Source organism: Homo sapiens, chromosome 4 (assembly GCF_000001405.40).
Source record: "Homo sapiens chromosome 4, GRCh38.p14 Primary Assembly".
Classification (NCBI taxonomy): Eukaryota; Metazoa; Chordata; class Mammalia; order Primates; family Hominidae; genus Homo; species Homo sapiens.
Genome location: NC_000004.12, coordinates 10,320,244 through 10,334,651, shown reverse-complemented (window position 1 = coordinate 10,334,651; position 14,408 = coordinate 10,320,244). Strand labels below are relative to the sequence as shown.

The following is a 14,408-nucleotide window of genomic DNA, read 5'->3' as shown; positions in this document are numbered from 1 at the left end:
TATGACTCAATGCATCCGAACAATGTGGGACATTGGAAGGAATACATTTCTTCCTTCAAAATATACCAGTTGCACAAAAACAGATGCAGACTTAAAAGCTCACATGCAAAAGTTTCTTTAAAAAAACTAAATGTGTTAACAGTTTAGATCCTATTTACACCTAAACTTAGAGTATATTGCAATAAAATGCCACATTCACATATGCATACACAATGAGAAATCTGCACACTCAAATCTCTCACATCCCACTGAAGGAATGAAGTTTGTAACTTCCTTCTAGTAGTTCATCTTAGAACTCATGGTATATAACAGAGAGCTGACGTTTAAAGGAACACTACTTTTAGATCTTTAAGCATACAATCTCATTTTTGTGGAAGAGAAAGTAGGAGACTTAGAAGTTATTAAAAGGATGACTTGTCAATTTTTGTATGCAACTTTTTACATCCTGTGTGAGGCACAGAAAGCTGAATGACATACAAGGGTATGTTAAGAATCTCTTCCTAGGAGAGGGAAGTGTCCCTATTACAGGAAGGCAGTAGAAAGCTCCCTGCTGCAGTGGATCCTGAGCCCATCCCCCACATGCTGAAAGGGTGATCCCAGCCTTTAGCATTCTTCTGGAATGACTGGGCTGCTCAGGGCTACACCTGTACCTTTTTAGTCTACTTGTTTTCAGGCAGAGCCACCTTTCAGACAAGAATTCATGGCCTTCAGGATAAAGGAAAAACTAAGGAACATGTCTGATAGGGTTGACGGTGACCAGAACATCATCCCAAAGGGACGATCGAGATGCATTATCCCTGGCTGAAGACATACAGCAAGATAGAGTCCCAGTCGCCTCCATAAGTAAGCTCAATTCCCTCCCCACCCACCCCCCCGACCCCTTCACTGGTTATTCTCGCCACCCTTTCACCAGTTCAGCATCTTCCTGTGGGCTTCCTCAGGACACTTTGAAATTAGGTACTCAATAACATGGGCAGATTAGTGACCCCCTGAGATTTGTAAGTCTTAATCCTTAGATGCTGGGAACATGTTTTTGATATGGCAAGGGGGTATTTGGGAGACAGAACTGAGGTTGCTAATCAGCTAACGTGCAGAGATCACCCTGGATCCTCCAGGAGGGTCCCTTGTCATCAAAGGTGATTCAAAAAATTAAGCAGAAGAAGGAGACAGAAGCAGAATGAGAATCAGATCTCAAGAGGCACTCCCAGCTCTGAAGCTGAGGGCGGAATCCCTCCATGTGAAGCCCAGAAAAAGGGGCCAGAAGTCAAGGAATGCAGTGGGCTGCTGAAAAGGAAGTCAAGGAAACAGACAGTCCTCTAGAAAAAAACAAGCCAACCATGTAGACAGCCTCATTTTGTCTAGGTGAGAGCAATTTCAGTCTATTGATCACCACTGTAACGTGAGATAAACCTGTTTTACTTTTCAGCTTTCTACATATGGCTAGCCAGTTTTCCCAGTACCATTTATTAAATAGGGAATCCTTTCCCCATTTCTTGTTTTTGTCAGGTTTGTCAAAGATCAGATAGTTGTAGATATGCGGCATTATTTCTGAGGGCTCTGTTCTGTTCCATTGGTTTTATATCTGTTTTGGTACCAGTACCATGCTGTTTTGGTTACTGTAGCCTTGTAGTATAGTTTGAAGTCAGGTAGCGTGATGCCTGCAGCTTTGTTCTTTTGCCTCAGGATTGACTTGGCAAATGCAGGCTCTTTTTTGGTTTCATATGAATTTTCAAGTAGTTTTTTCCAATTCTGTGAAGAAAGGCGTTGGTAGCTTGATGGGGATGGCATTGAATCTATAAATTACCTTGGGCAGTATGGCCATTTTCACGATATTGATTCTTCCTACCCATGAGCATGGAATGTTCTTCCATTTGTTTGTATCCTTTTTTATTTCATTGAGCAGTGGTTTGTAGTTCTCCTTGAAGAGGTCCTTCACATCCCTTGTAAGTTGGATTCCTAGGTATTTTATTCTCTTTGAAGCAATTGTGAATGGGATTTCACTCATGATTTGGCTGTTTGTCTGTTATTTGTGTATAAGAATGCTTGTGATTTTTGCACATTGATTTTGTATCCTGAGACTTTGCTGAAGTTGCTTATCAGCTTAAGGAGATTTTGGGCTGAGATGATGGGGTTTTCTAGATATACAGTCATGTCATCTGCAAACAGGGACAATTTGACTTCCTCTTTTCCTAATTGAATACCCTTTATTTCCTTCTCCTGCCTGATTGCCCTGGCTAGAACTTCCAACACTATGTTGAATAGCAGTGGTGAGAGAGGGCATCCCTGTCTTGTGCCAGTTTTCAAAGGGAATGCTTCTAGTTTTTGCCCATTATGATATTGGCTGTGGGTTTGTCATAGATAGCTCTTATTATTTTGAGATACATCCCATCAATACCTAATTTATTGAGAGTTTTTCCTTACACCTTATACAAAAATTAATTCAAGATGGATTAAAGACTTAAATGTTAGACCTAAAACCATAAAAACCCTAGAAGAAAACCTAGGCAATACCATTCAGGACATAGGCATGGGCAAGGACTTCATGTCTAAAACACCAAAAGCAATGGCAACAAAAGCCAAAATTGACAAATGGGATCTAATTAAACTAAAGAGTTTCTGCACAGCAAAAGAAACTACCATCAGAGTGAACAGGCAACCTACAAAATGGGAGAAAATTTTTGCAACCTACTCATCTGACAAAGGGCTACTATCCAGAATCTACAATGAACTCAAATTTACAAGAAAAAAACAAACAACCCCATCAAAAAGCAGGCGAAGGATATGAAGAGACACTTCTCAAAAGATGACATGTATGCAGCCAACAGACACATGAACAAATGCTCATCATCACTGGCCATCAGAGAAATGCAAATCAAAACCACAATGAGATACCATCTCACACCAGTTAGAATGGCCATCATTAAAAAGTCAGGAAACAACAGGTGCTGGAGAGGATGTGGAGAAATAGGAACACTTATACACTGTTGGAGGGACTGTAAACTAGTTCAACCATTGTGGAAGTCAGTGTGGTGATTCCTCAGGGATCTAGAACTAGAAATATCATTTGACCCAGCCATCCCATTACTGGGTATATACCCAAAGGATTATAAATCACGCTGCTATAAAGACACATGCACACATATGTTTATTGCATCACTATTCATAATAGCAAAGAGTTGGAACCAACCCAAATATCCAACAACGATAGACTGGATTAAGAAAATGTGGCACATATACACCATGGAATACTATGCAGCCATAAAAAGGACGAATTCATGTCCTTTATAGGGACCTGGATAAAGCTGGAAACCGTCATTCTCAGCAAACTATCACAAGGACAAAAAACCAAACACCTCATGTTCTCACTCATAGGTGGGAATTGAACAATGAGAACACACAGACACAGGAAGGGGAACATCACACACTGGGGTCTGTTGTGGGGTGGGGGGACGGGGTAGGGATAGCATTAGGAGATATACCTAGTATTAAATGATGAGTTAATGGGTGCAGCACACCAACATGGCACATGTATACATATGCAACAAACCTGCACGTTGTGCACATGTACCCTAAAATTTAAATAATTAAACAAAAAACCTGTTTTACTTAAGCACTAACTTGATGTCCATTTAGTACAGCAGAAAGAGAAAGAAATGTAAGACCTGTCCAACATTCCTAATATTCTTTTGTCAGGGGGATCCGGAGTCAGTCACTGATGTTCACCTGAAAGTTCCTCTAAGAGTCTTCGTAACTATTCTTACCCTGAGAATCAATGAAGAACAAAATTAAAGGCAACGTATAGTATATCCTGAGCATTTCAGTGTTTAAGTGTGATAAATAGATGTGTTTGTTCAATTTACGTGGGAAATGTATAGGCACAAATGGCATGAAAGACAGATTAAAATTTACAAGAGTAGGTCCTGATTATTTGTTTTCTATGAAGTGTACTAAATATACGATTTAGAACTTTCTACAAGGTATTCTGTTACCCAAATAACTTCCCCACTTGATTCTATCACCAGTTCAGATATGACACCAGTTGCTTATCAGTTGTTCCAAACATAAAGAGATGGAAATAGTCTTCAAAATGTCACTCTACCACGACTGACAGGCTAGAACAACCAAAAGCACTGTCATTCTCTCCACCTTAAACTATGTGGAAGGTCCCATTCAGATGGACCAGGAGGTTCCCTGCTCTTCATGAATTGCAGGTCAGCACAGCACCAGGAGAGGCTGATAATTTCTCACTAAGGACTGACCATTAGTGAGTCTTTCTCACAGATGGCTCCGAATATTCTCCACCCTCCCTATTGGTAGCCTCTACCCCCAGCTGTCAGAACCACCTCCCCCCAAAACTACCACCTTACAAATCTGAAAGAATCCTACACGTGGAAAGCAAGACCACCAGCTGCTTCCACATCTAAGAGAACCCTGGCTCATGGTTTGTGCCCCCAGGGGCCTGGCAGGCCCAGCACACCCACCCATGGGGATGAGAATGATGTCAAAATCCTGCCCCTTTGATAGGAGACCACTGAGCCCTTGTTACCCAGAGGAGGTGGTGCTATTGCCAACTATGATCAACATTGTCTGTAAATTTTCCGGGACAACGTTCAGACATTACCACAGGCACCATAAAAAAAGGCAGAAGCCTCCAGCACCAAGTATTCTGCATTGAGTCCTTCTCCTTTAGGTGAGCTTAAAGTTCTGCACCTACCACCGACTTGAGAAACTGCCAGGATACTTAAATCTGTCACAAGGAACTACTTGCTGGTGAACGGTGACTCAGGAGACTCCCTGACCTGCTGAATGATCCAGGGAGAAGAGACAGAATGAGAAGAGTTCCGTGGGGATACAGGTTGCACTTCCCAGGCATCAGGGAGGTATATATATCATCTTCCTGTGTAGTCTAGGAGGTAGAAAGAGAAAAGTACATTTCTTCAGTGCTCCCTAGCCTTCAACACCCATGGTAAGCTGGGTCCCAAAAAGGATTGGGTTGGTGGACCAGCTCTATTGAATCTAACAAGGCAGCTGTCCCTTGTCTAGTCAAAAAGGAGAAATTTGCTTTTCAGCTCTCTGCATGCACTGCACTCTGCCAAGGCTGGATGGAATTTCAGGCCAGAGGGTAGGCTGGGTACAGAACTCAAAGCCAACAGACTGAAATGACTTGTCTTTACAGTAGACCCTATTTCCTGAAACTGAGCTGAGAATTTTCCTGGTTCCAAGCTACAGAATTACTCTAAACATGGTACAGCTTGAAGGAAACAACATTCAGGATAGAACCTAAGGAAGCACCTGTCAGTGCAGAGCAGCTCATTGGATGCCTGGCAGTTCTATCAGGACCCGTTAGGAAGCTCCATAAGCCTCTTTGATCCAGGCCCCAAACTGGCCCTTATGAGATCCCAACTTGTGTTGTCACCAATTACTGCAAAGACATAATTTTGACCACCTATCATATTGGTGTCACTTCACGTGAAACAGCACAGAGCCAATTCTGTAAAAGTTTCTTTAGTAAGTTGGAGCAGACTGACAGCTGTCACAGCCTGGGAGAAGGTACTTAGCCCAACAGCACAGGCACAAACAGGACAGAATCCAGGAGGGTGGGCTGCCATCTCATTAGACTGAGTGTTTACCTTACGGGAAGGTATCAACCACAGCTATCAGAATCACAGCCACCAGCCAATGCCTGAGAACATTCCCTTAGGCATCAAGTGTGAGATTCACAGGAGGCCCTCAGAGCTGCAGCACACATTCTCTGGGTGGGGAAACAGCCAGCGACACAGGCTCCATAAGGGGCATGACTGAGTCAACTTGGAGAAACCTAGGGACAGACTTAAGGATCTTTACAACAAAGAACACTCAGAGGAAGAGAGCAGCTATAACCTCGACTGCTCAAAGCACTGCTTTCCTAGCCATGTGTGTTCTTACTGCCTCTAAGCTGCAGAAGTGAGGAGGTAAACCAAAGGGAGTAATGCCTGCTTTTCACTTACCCACCGCAATTGCAGTAGCCCCTTAGAGCAGGGTGGAGAGTGATCAGGACTGCAGACATTTGGGTTCAGAGTCACCTCCATGCCCTTTTTACTTGTGGTTCAGAAACCTCTGTGCCCTCATTCTCAGAGCCACCACCACCAATGGGAAATAGTCAACAGATCTAACGCAGCTGACACCTGATGCTTCTATCTTTTTACTATCTGATGGAAGAACCTCTAAGACTAAGGCAGGGAAATGATCCCATGGCAATATATTGAGGAGCCAGAGATTTCACAGCCTAGGTGTGTGAATATTCAGAGAACATCTGAGAAACCAGGCTCAAGATAAACACTGCTCATGTCACAGCCTGTGGACATGTCTGGAGATAAATCAGATGTAAAATATGCTCTGTAACATCCAGAGGGAGAGCATCTCACTAGGCCTGTCTGAAGTACTCTGAGGAGAGGGACCCACTCATGATACGCAAGGAAGAACAACATCAGGCAGACAAGCTAAAGGACACCCTAGGCTGTGACCATGAGGGGTGGAAGGATGATGTCACAAACTCCACATATGCACCTGCTGGTGACATGAAAGCAAAGTAGCTTTGGAATCATTTATGTTACATCATTGGTGTATTAACCTAGACCCAAGGTGAGATGTTTGAATGAACACAGGACCCATGCTTTCAAATGCATCTCTGTTTCATCTGACCCAGCCCTGGGTGTTTCAAAAGCAAAGACTTCCCCTCCCAGGTCGGCCTGCATGAGAATCCATGGGGCTAAGGGAGAAGGTAAAGATCACCATAAGATACATGTGGAATGCTTCAGCTATGGAATCTGGATGATCCCTATAGCAGAAGGGCTGAGACTGTCCTGCAGAAGCCAACACTCAGGATCATCAGTCATCTTGCAGAATGTGTGTGCAAGCATAGCAGAGGCTGGGAAGCTCAGCGACCTGCTCCAGGCCACCTTGTAAAAGCAACACAGCCATGGACAGTACCATGCCCATGTCCTCATCCTGGCCTCCCATACACACAAAAAACTAAAATAATGAAAATTGCTGTAAAACTCTGCATTGCATGAGAACATTTTCCTATGTAGAGCAAAGCTGAGGGTAGGGTCAGGAAGAGCCTTAACTCATGGTGATTCCCAAGTATACAGGACATTGTCCAGATGATCTCCCCTGAGAATCATGAGCTGAACAATGGCTGAAGAGAAAAACTCACTAAGCACACATCTGTGAACAAAATAGAGCCAAGATGCCATATTACCAGGTGTCAGGAGAGAGAAACTGAGACACAGGCAGTGCCCGGTGTCATAGGCTAACCACGAGCAAGGAGCTGTGCAGAATAAACTTGCAATGTCCATCTGCAAACGTTCATGCAGGGCTTGTCCCTGATGATGTCCAGTACCTGATGGCCTGTGCCAGACAGACAGAATTAAGATTGTTGAAATACAAAGCCCCTGAGGCACATCCTTCAGTGTAGAGGTAGGAGCCCAAGACAGGTCCTTGACACACCCATTCCTTCAAAGACCTTGCAAGTCAGAAGACCCACCCAGTATAGCATTATAAATTAAAGGCAAGCACTCTAGCAGGTAGAATTGATTGGTTGCACGTGGATCAGGAACAACCCGCATTCCTTGTGAATACACAAATACCAAAGACAAAGGGAAAAATTAGAAGCCCTCTGGACTGCAGGGTGTTTTGCTTCCCCACAGCAGCAGGCCAAGCCTCACTCTCTCCCCATACACAACTCAGCTCCTCATCCATGAGCTTCCTGGGCTTCAGGTCAAGGATCTGCGAAAGACAGAGCCAGTCTATACTTCCCCAATTCCCACCTCATCATCCTAGAGCACAGCCTTCAGAAAATGTCAAAACTTTCTCCTATCAAGTGATGCCAGGTCCCAGCCTGAGCACTCAAGACCATACTGTCACTTTCCATTTAAAGTGTTTCGATAATATCAAGTTGATGTCTGCAGTTTTTCAGCAGATACAAGGGTTAAAGGAAATGGTCTAGGAAGAAAATTCTTTAATGGAACAAACCTGTTTCACTCAATATATATGCCTACAACCCCCACAAAATTTCATGATGAAGAGCAACAGTTTCCTGTAGCAATTTTTCTTGCCAGAACATTGGCTTCAAACATCCATGGTTGAAGATCCTCAGCCAAGTCTCCCCCTAAAGCATTAACAACTGTAATAGAAACCTGTTCTTCCAAGGTAGATAGATGATCCTTCTGACATCCTTCTGGAAGGTTCATGTTAAGCAGACATCTCACTACAGTGCAATGAAGCTAGTCATATTACCCCATGGGCACAGTAGGCCCCATACAGTAATCATCCTTATCCCACAAAAGTTATCAAGACAGACCAGCCAGGGCCTTTGTCAGTGTTAACTCTCAGATCACTAGAAGAAAACAGTCTGTATGTGTCGATAAAGGAACTGTTCCCCTTGTTGCCGACATTAACTACATATTTATGTCTAGGATAGTTACGGCTGTACTGAATACACTGACGTCACAGGAACTATGCCGTCCTCATCCCCTAAATGAAGCAACTATGTTCAAAACATGTAAAGTGTATTAGGGACTGTAAGTCATCCAGAGATAGCTTAAAGGATGTAGGATTATGTGCACAGGTTACATGCCATTTTATACAAGAGACTTAAGCACTTGAAGGTCCTAGAATTAATCCCTTGCAATACAAGGCAAAGGTACTCATCTTATTCTGAGGGTTTAAAACTGGACTAGTCACAAGCAGTAGAATCAAAGAACAAAGATCTAAAGGTCAGATGATACTTAACCTAGTACCTTTCCACCCCAGGACAGTACATAGAGATGGATCCAGCTAATTGGGAGGTAGAGAAATCAACGTTATTCACTTATGAATCATGGGGACCCATGTGCTCTCTTAAGTTTTGGAAATACAGACTTCTCTTAGCAGCCCCTCCCATCCTCAGGCTGCCTCCTGCTGTAGGTCCATTCCTGAATCAGCCTGTCCAGGGCAGATGTATGTGAAGAGCACTCAAGGGGGTGTTCAATCCCACTACATTAGTGAGAGACCACTTAAGTCTCCTGTGTGGAGATACAGATAAGTAACTTGTCACTAGGACCATCTTTTCCTTGTGGGAGTGGTTAACCTTTCCACGAAGTTTCCTTCCAGAGTCCCAAGTGGCAATGAGAAATAAGGGAACCCCCAAGGGGTTGTTCAATTCCACTACAGCTCTCTTTAGTGCATGAAATTTTCTGTGGGTTGTAGGTATATTGAGTGAAACAGGTTTGTTTCATTGAAGAATTTTCTTCCTAGACTATACCCTTTAACCCTTGTACCTGCTGAAAAACTGTAGATATCAACTCAATGTGTTGAAACACTTTAAATGGAAAGCAAGTATGACCTTCAGCGCTCAGGTTGGGACCTGAAATCACTACCAGCTACTAAAGGACATCCAACTAGGAAGGAAACCACACACTTAGACTTTGTGGGGAGAAACAGGACCTTCATCACTACTTTCATGTAAGATTCTTGTCCTCAAAGGCAGAAATTCATCTCAGTCTTCTGCAAAGAGATCATTCTTTCATCATTGATGTCATATTCATGCAAGATGGGCAAGGAGGAATGGTCATCAGCTCTCTTTGACCAAGGGATTTCAAGCAGCAGCAAACTGTTCACATGAAATGAAAGCACAAAATCCTCCCTAGACTGAGGGGAGGGTCCTTTTAAGGCTGTAGTTATGTCACCAAGGTACCTTCAATGATAATTAGAAGGTAGGGTGAGAAAGGTACGGAAGAGCAGCTGAATCCATGTAAAGAGGAGAAACATCACTAGTGCTAACTTTTCCCTGCATGAGTGGTTAAGCTTTTCAGGAAATGTTCCTTCAGAGTCCCAAGTGTCAGAGATAGAGGAGCACCCAAGAAGGTATTCAATTCCACGACAGCTCTTTTTAGTGCATGAGTCACACAAGAGACTTAAGAGATCTCTCACTAGTTGGGGGGTCCAACAGCCAAGGTCATATGCCAGGTAATGTACAGAGTTTGAACTCTAAGGCTACATCTACAAGCCCAAGGGATGATGCAAGACACGATGACTTCAGCTCACTTCTCCCAACACAGCCACATCTCCTAGGAAGAAGTCCCCAGATGCTCAAGACTGGTAGAAACAATGAAAACCAGCTGTGTTCAGAGTCCAACATGGATCTGCTTCCCATGGACTCCTCTGATAGGAATATTCAGGAAACTGTTTTGAGGCTGGGCACGGTGGCTCACACCTGTAATCCCAGTACTTTGGGAGGCTGAGGTGGGCGGATCACCTAAAGTCAGGAGTTCAAGACCAGCCTGGCCAACATGGTGAAACCCTGGTGGTGGGTGCCTATAGTCCCAGCTACTTGGGAGGCTGAGGCAGAAGAATGGCATGAGCCCGGGAGGCAGAGCTTACAGTGAGCCGAGATCAAGCCACTGTACCCCAGCCTGGGCGACAGAGCAAGACTCTCTTAAATGACGAGTTAATGGGTGCAGCACGCCAGCATGGCACATGTATACATATGTAACTAACCTGCACATTGTGCACATGTACCCTAAAACTTAAAGTATAATAATAATAAAATAAAATTAAAAAAAATAGCTGGTCATGGTGGCATGCACCTGCACTCCCAGCTACTTGGGAGGCTGAGGCACAAGAATTGTTTGAACCCAGGAGGTGGAGGTTGCAGACAGCCGATATTGTGCAAAGGCACTCCAGCCTGGGTGGCAGAGCAAGACTGTCTCAAACAAAAAATAAGCAAAAACCAAAAAACAAACCTGTTTTGGGCAGTAAGACCTACATTATTCTGCGGATGTAGATTCCTGCCTCTGTGTAGGAACTGGGGATGTGCTCCTTGCTCTCCTACTTCCTGCTGAAAGGTCCCAAAGGCCCATTCCTTTGCCAGCTTTAAACTAAGAAATAGGACTCTTGTCTGCTACTGAAAAACAGATTTCAGAGACCAAGATGGGGCAGGACCCAACTTCCAGTTAGTTTTCCCTGTGGGACTTTCTTACCCTATAGCAGGAGATGACTTAGTTTCACCCTCAATGTGCCAGAACATCAAGATCAACAGTCACCAGAAATAGGATCCAAGAATAAGTGAGGTTGTGAGGAAGATGAAAATCCAGGGTGAACCTAGTTGAACCTGCCCCAATTGTTGCAGGACCAATGAGGTGCCAGCAGGTATCCATGTAGAAAATCAAGTCAGAACAACTTTATGTTGAAGTCCCCAATGGGAGGCTATCATCAAGTCTGGGCCATTTTATCATCAACTGAGCCCAACCTGACACAAACAGGCTCACTGCTCTTTCCTAAGGAAGGAAGATATGGAATACCTACTACAGACCAGGAAGAAGATACAAGTTCAAAAATCAGTCCCTATGGAGATGAGCAGCTTGCTATCCTCCTCTGCATAGCTGTCCAGGTTCCATCGGCCTCACCTCTGGAGCAGGAAGTACTCACCACAGAGCACCCTGGACTCAGACTTATCCCCAAGGACCAACACACCTCAGTGGGTCCCCTGGCTGCATCCTTGCCAGCATCACTGGCAGAGTAACCAAGATGCCTGAGTCCTCAGAATCCCCAGCCTGGGAGCTCCCTAGGTTCACAGAGCTGTTTCTCAGCATCAAGGATGAGTGGACCTGCATCTTCTTGCAGCTCTGCTGCCCAACAATGCTTCTTTCAGGGTCAGCCACTCAGACAATACACTAATTCCTTCTAAGGGGCAGCCTTCTTGCTGCTTGCTTACTGTAGCCAACCTTCAGGGGGGCTGTGACCCAGCAGCAGCAGGAAAGGATCTCTGAGAAAAAGCCAGATCAGAGAGAATACCTGCAAGACATGACCAACAGCTGCCTCCCCCACCTACAATACGGTGATACAGAGCTGGCTGTCAGTTTGGGGACAGGGTCGGGTCACCACAGCAGTGCAATCATGTGGGACTGTAAAGGTTCCAGAGATCAACGCCTTTCCACCAGAGTCGTCCTGGGTGCCCAGAGAAGGCACAGCATTGTCCACAATGACCATCATCCCATTTGTCCCCTGTCTGTAACAACTTTTATTGGTGCCAATGGCATCCAGAGAAACTACAGGGAACATCCAACCCCAAGCTTCTAGTGTTCAGATGGCTTGACGAAAATTTCAGGAGCAGTACCTGAATCCTAACAGCTTCGGAGAAAACACAGATGTATGTCAAAACCTTCAACCTTGGTCAATGTCCCCTCAGCCTGTTACACTGGAAGGAGGGCCTTGAGTGAACTGTCCAGGTCCTTGGCGTTTTTAACACAACACAGAAGCAAAGTAACAAAGGAATGAAACACAAACGATGCAGCAAAAGCCAATATCAAAGTGAGAAAGCATCCATGGGGTGGGAGTGGGCCTCAGCAAGTGGCACAAGAGCCGGGTTACAAAGTTCTCTGGGTTTTAAGTTCTCCTTTTGAGGTCCCCATCTGTTACCCCTTATCTGGATAAAGGATTTGGTCCATGGCTAATTAAGGACTGAGGTGAACTGGCACCCTCTGCAGATAAACAGATGGTCCCTGCATAACCTGCATCCAAGCCAGTACACACACTTCCTTTCCTCTGCCACGTGGTGGACAGGGGAAGATAGAGGGAGAATAGCCTTGGATCCTTTGCTACTCTTGTGGGGGAGATGGGGTTTTCCCTTGGGTTTAGCTTTAGGAAGTGGTTAATGGGACCTAGGTTCCCTGACCCCAGACCCAGATGTTTTCCTTTTGATGTAGCTTTGGGAAGTCAGCACAGATTGAACTCAGGTTCCCTGCCCCCACGACCTTGGCGTTTTTCCTCAATTTAGCATAAATTACTTTAAGTTACCTGCCTGCAAACGCCGTTTCTCCTGCCTCAAGCCAGTTAGAGTACAAAAGTGATCCTTGATAGACGTTTCCTACCAAGAGGACACTGTTGTGTAGCAACAGTAAGACATAGAACTATAAAGTCCTAGTCATTTAAAGGGCACCGTCCCTTTAAGCTTTACTCAACAGAGAATTGTTAAAAATAAGGTAAAGAAACTGACTTACATAGAATTGATACCTTTCAAGATAAGGGAGCAGACATTAGACAAACAAAGGAGCACCCTGAAGTCTTAACACAGGTGAAAATGTGCAGCCAGCATACAGTGTATCATAAACCTGACAAATACTGGAATGAATGGCAGAAGATCACCTGGAGACTTCGTGATGATTAGAGGAAAATACCAAGGCTAACAGGAGGATAAGGAGATAGAGTATTGTCTTATATCAAATATACTTCACCTCGACTCCAAAATGCAAGCTGAGAGGTACAGGACTTTTAGGCATTTGGGTTCAGGGTGCCCTCCACAACCCAAGACATGAGCTTCATCTATAGACCCCCTCCCCCGCTCAGACAGCTCATCCAATTGTGTGACTTACAGACATCACCACGAAGAACAGCAGTGGTGAATTGAACAGTTCTCTGCATTACTGATGTAGGGTATTTATGACTACATCATCCTTACCAAACACAATATAATCTTAATCCAGATTAAGTTGAGAATTCCGGACTACCTACAATTGGCTTTTGTGAGCACCATAAGTTAGAATATGCAGGGTTTTAGTTTGGTCTGGTCAGCACTGAAGCATGCCATGCCACTCCCAGAATCCAGGTGCATCTAACAGCTCATTTTGGCATCTTGGCAGGACTCTGCACTTGTGGGGCTGTATGATGGACTTGCAGATAGAACAAGTTTAAGTCGTCTCTCCATCCACTTTTACAAAAGGCATCACAAGGGGAACGGACCTGCCACACCACACACTGTGTGACACTTGTCCTGAGGCTACAACTCTAGGGACCTTGATTTGGCATCCTAGAAAAACATGAAGCCAAGTTTCCCTGGCTAGCCAGATACCTCTTCTTTCTTGGGGTGAATAGGTTGAAGGGCATCAGCTGGTACATAACGAGGACACATTGCCAAGACCAGGGGGGCTCAGCCTGCCGTCATCAGGAGGAGGGAAACATTGAGATGGGACTGCCAGTCCTGCAGCATGGGTATTTTTCTGGCCTCATAACCTCCACCCCACAACACAGCAAAAGGAGCCCATGACAGAGAAGTCTGAACACCACAGACCTAGAGCCCAGGGGAACAGACTGCAGTGAGCCAGGCCCACGCCTGGAGCCAGTGCCCATGCCATCCACATCCAGTGGAACCTCCCTGTGTGTAAAGCAGAGCAAATCTCCAGCAGAGGTGATCAGTGGTGAGCAACCTGACCAGGAACATTCCAAATACTCATTTGACAATGACCATCATTGTGCACAGACAGAACAGCAGTGTCAGTCATACAAGGGTCAAAGGACAACCTAGGCTGCGTGGAGAGGCTGAGGTAATTGAAGTAAAAAGCCACCTGCAGAGGGTAGCACAGTTAAAACCAAACATTAGCCAGCAGCTTCCA

The 14,408-nt window shown here is 44.7% G+C and overlaps 1 annotated feature.

Annotated features, from left to right (window-relative positions):
• Positions 7,753-8,047: a silencer, noted in NCBI's record as "tiled region #4472; HepG2 Repressive non-DNase unmatched - State 22:ReprW". NCBI's record gives its function as "represses a minimal TATA promoter and a strong SV40 promoter by Sharpr-MPRA in HepG2 cells {active_cell/tissue: HepG2}" and the evidence as "EXISTENCE:reporter gene assay evidence [ECO:0000049][PMID:27701403]".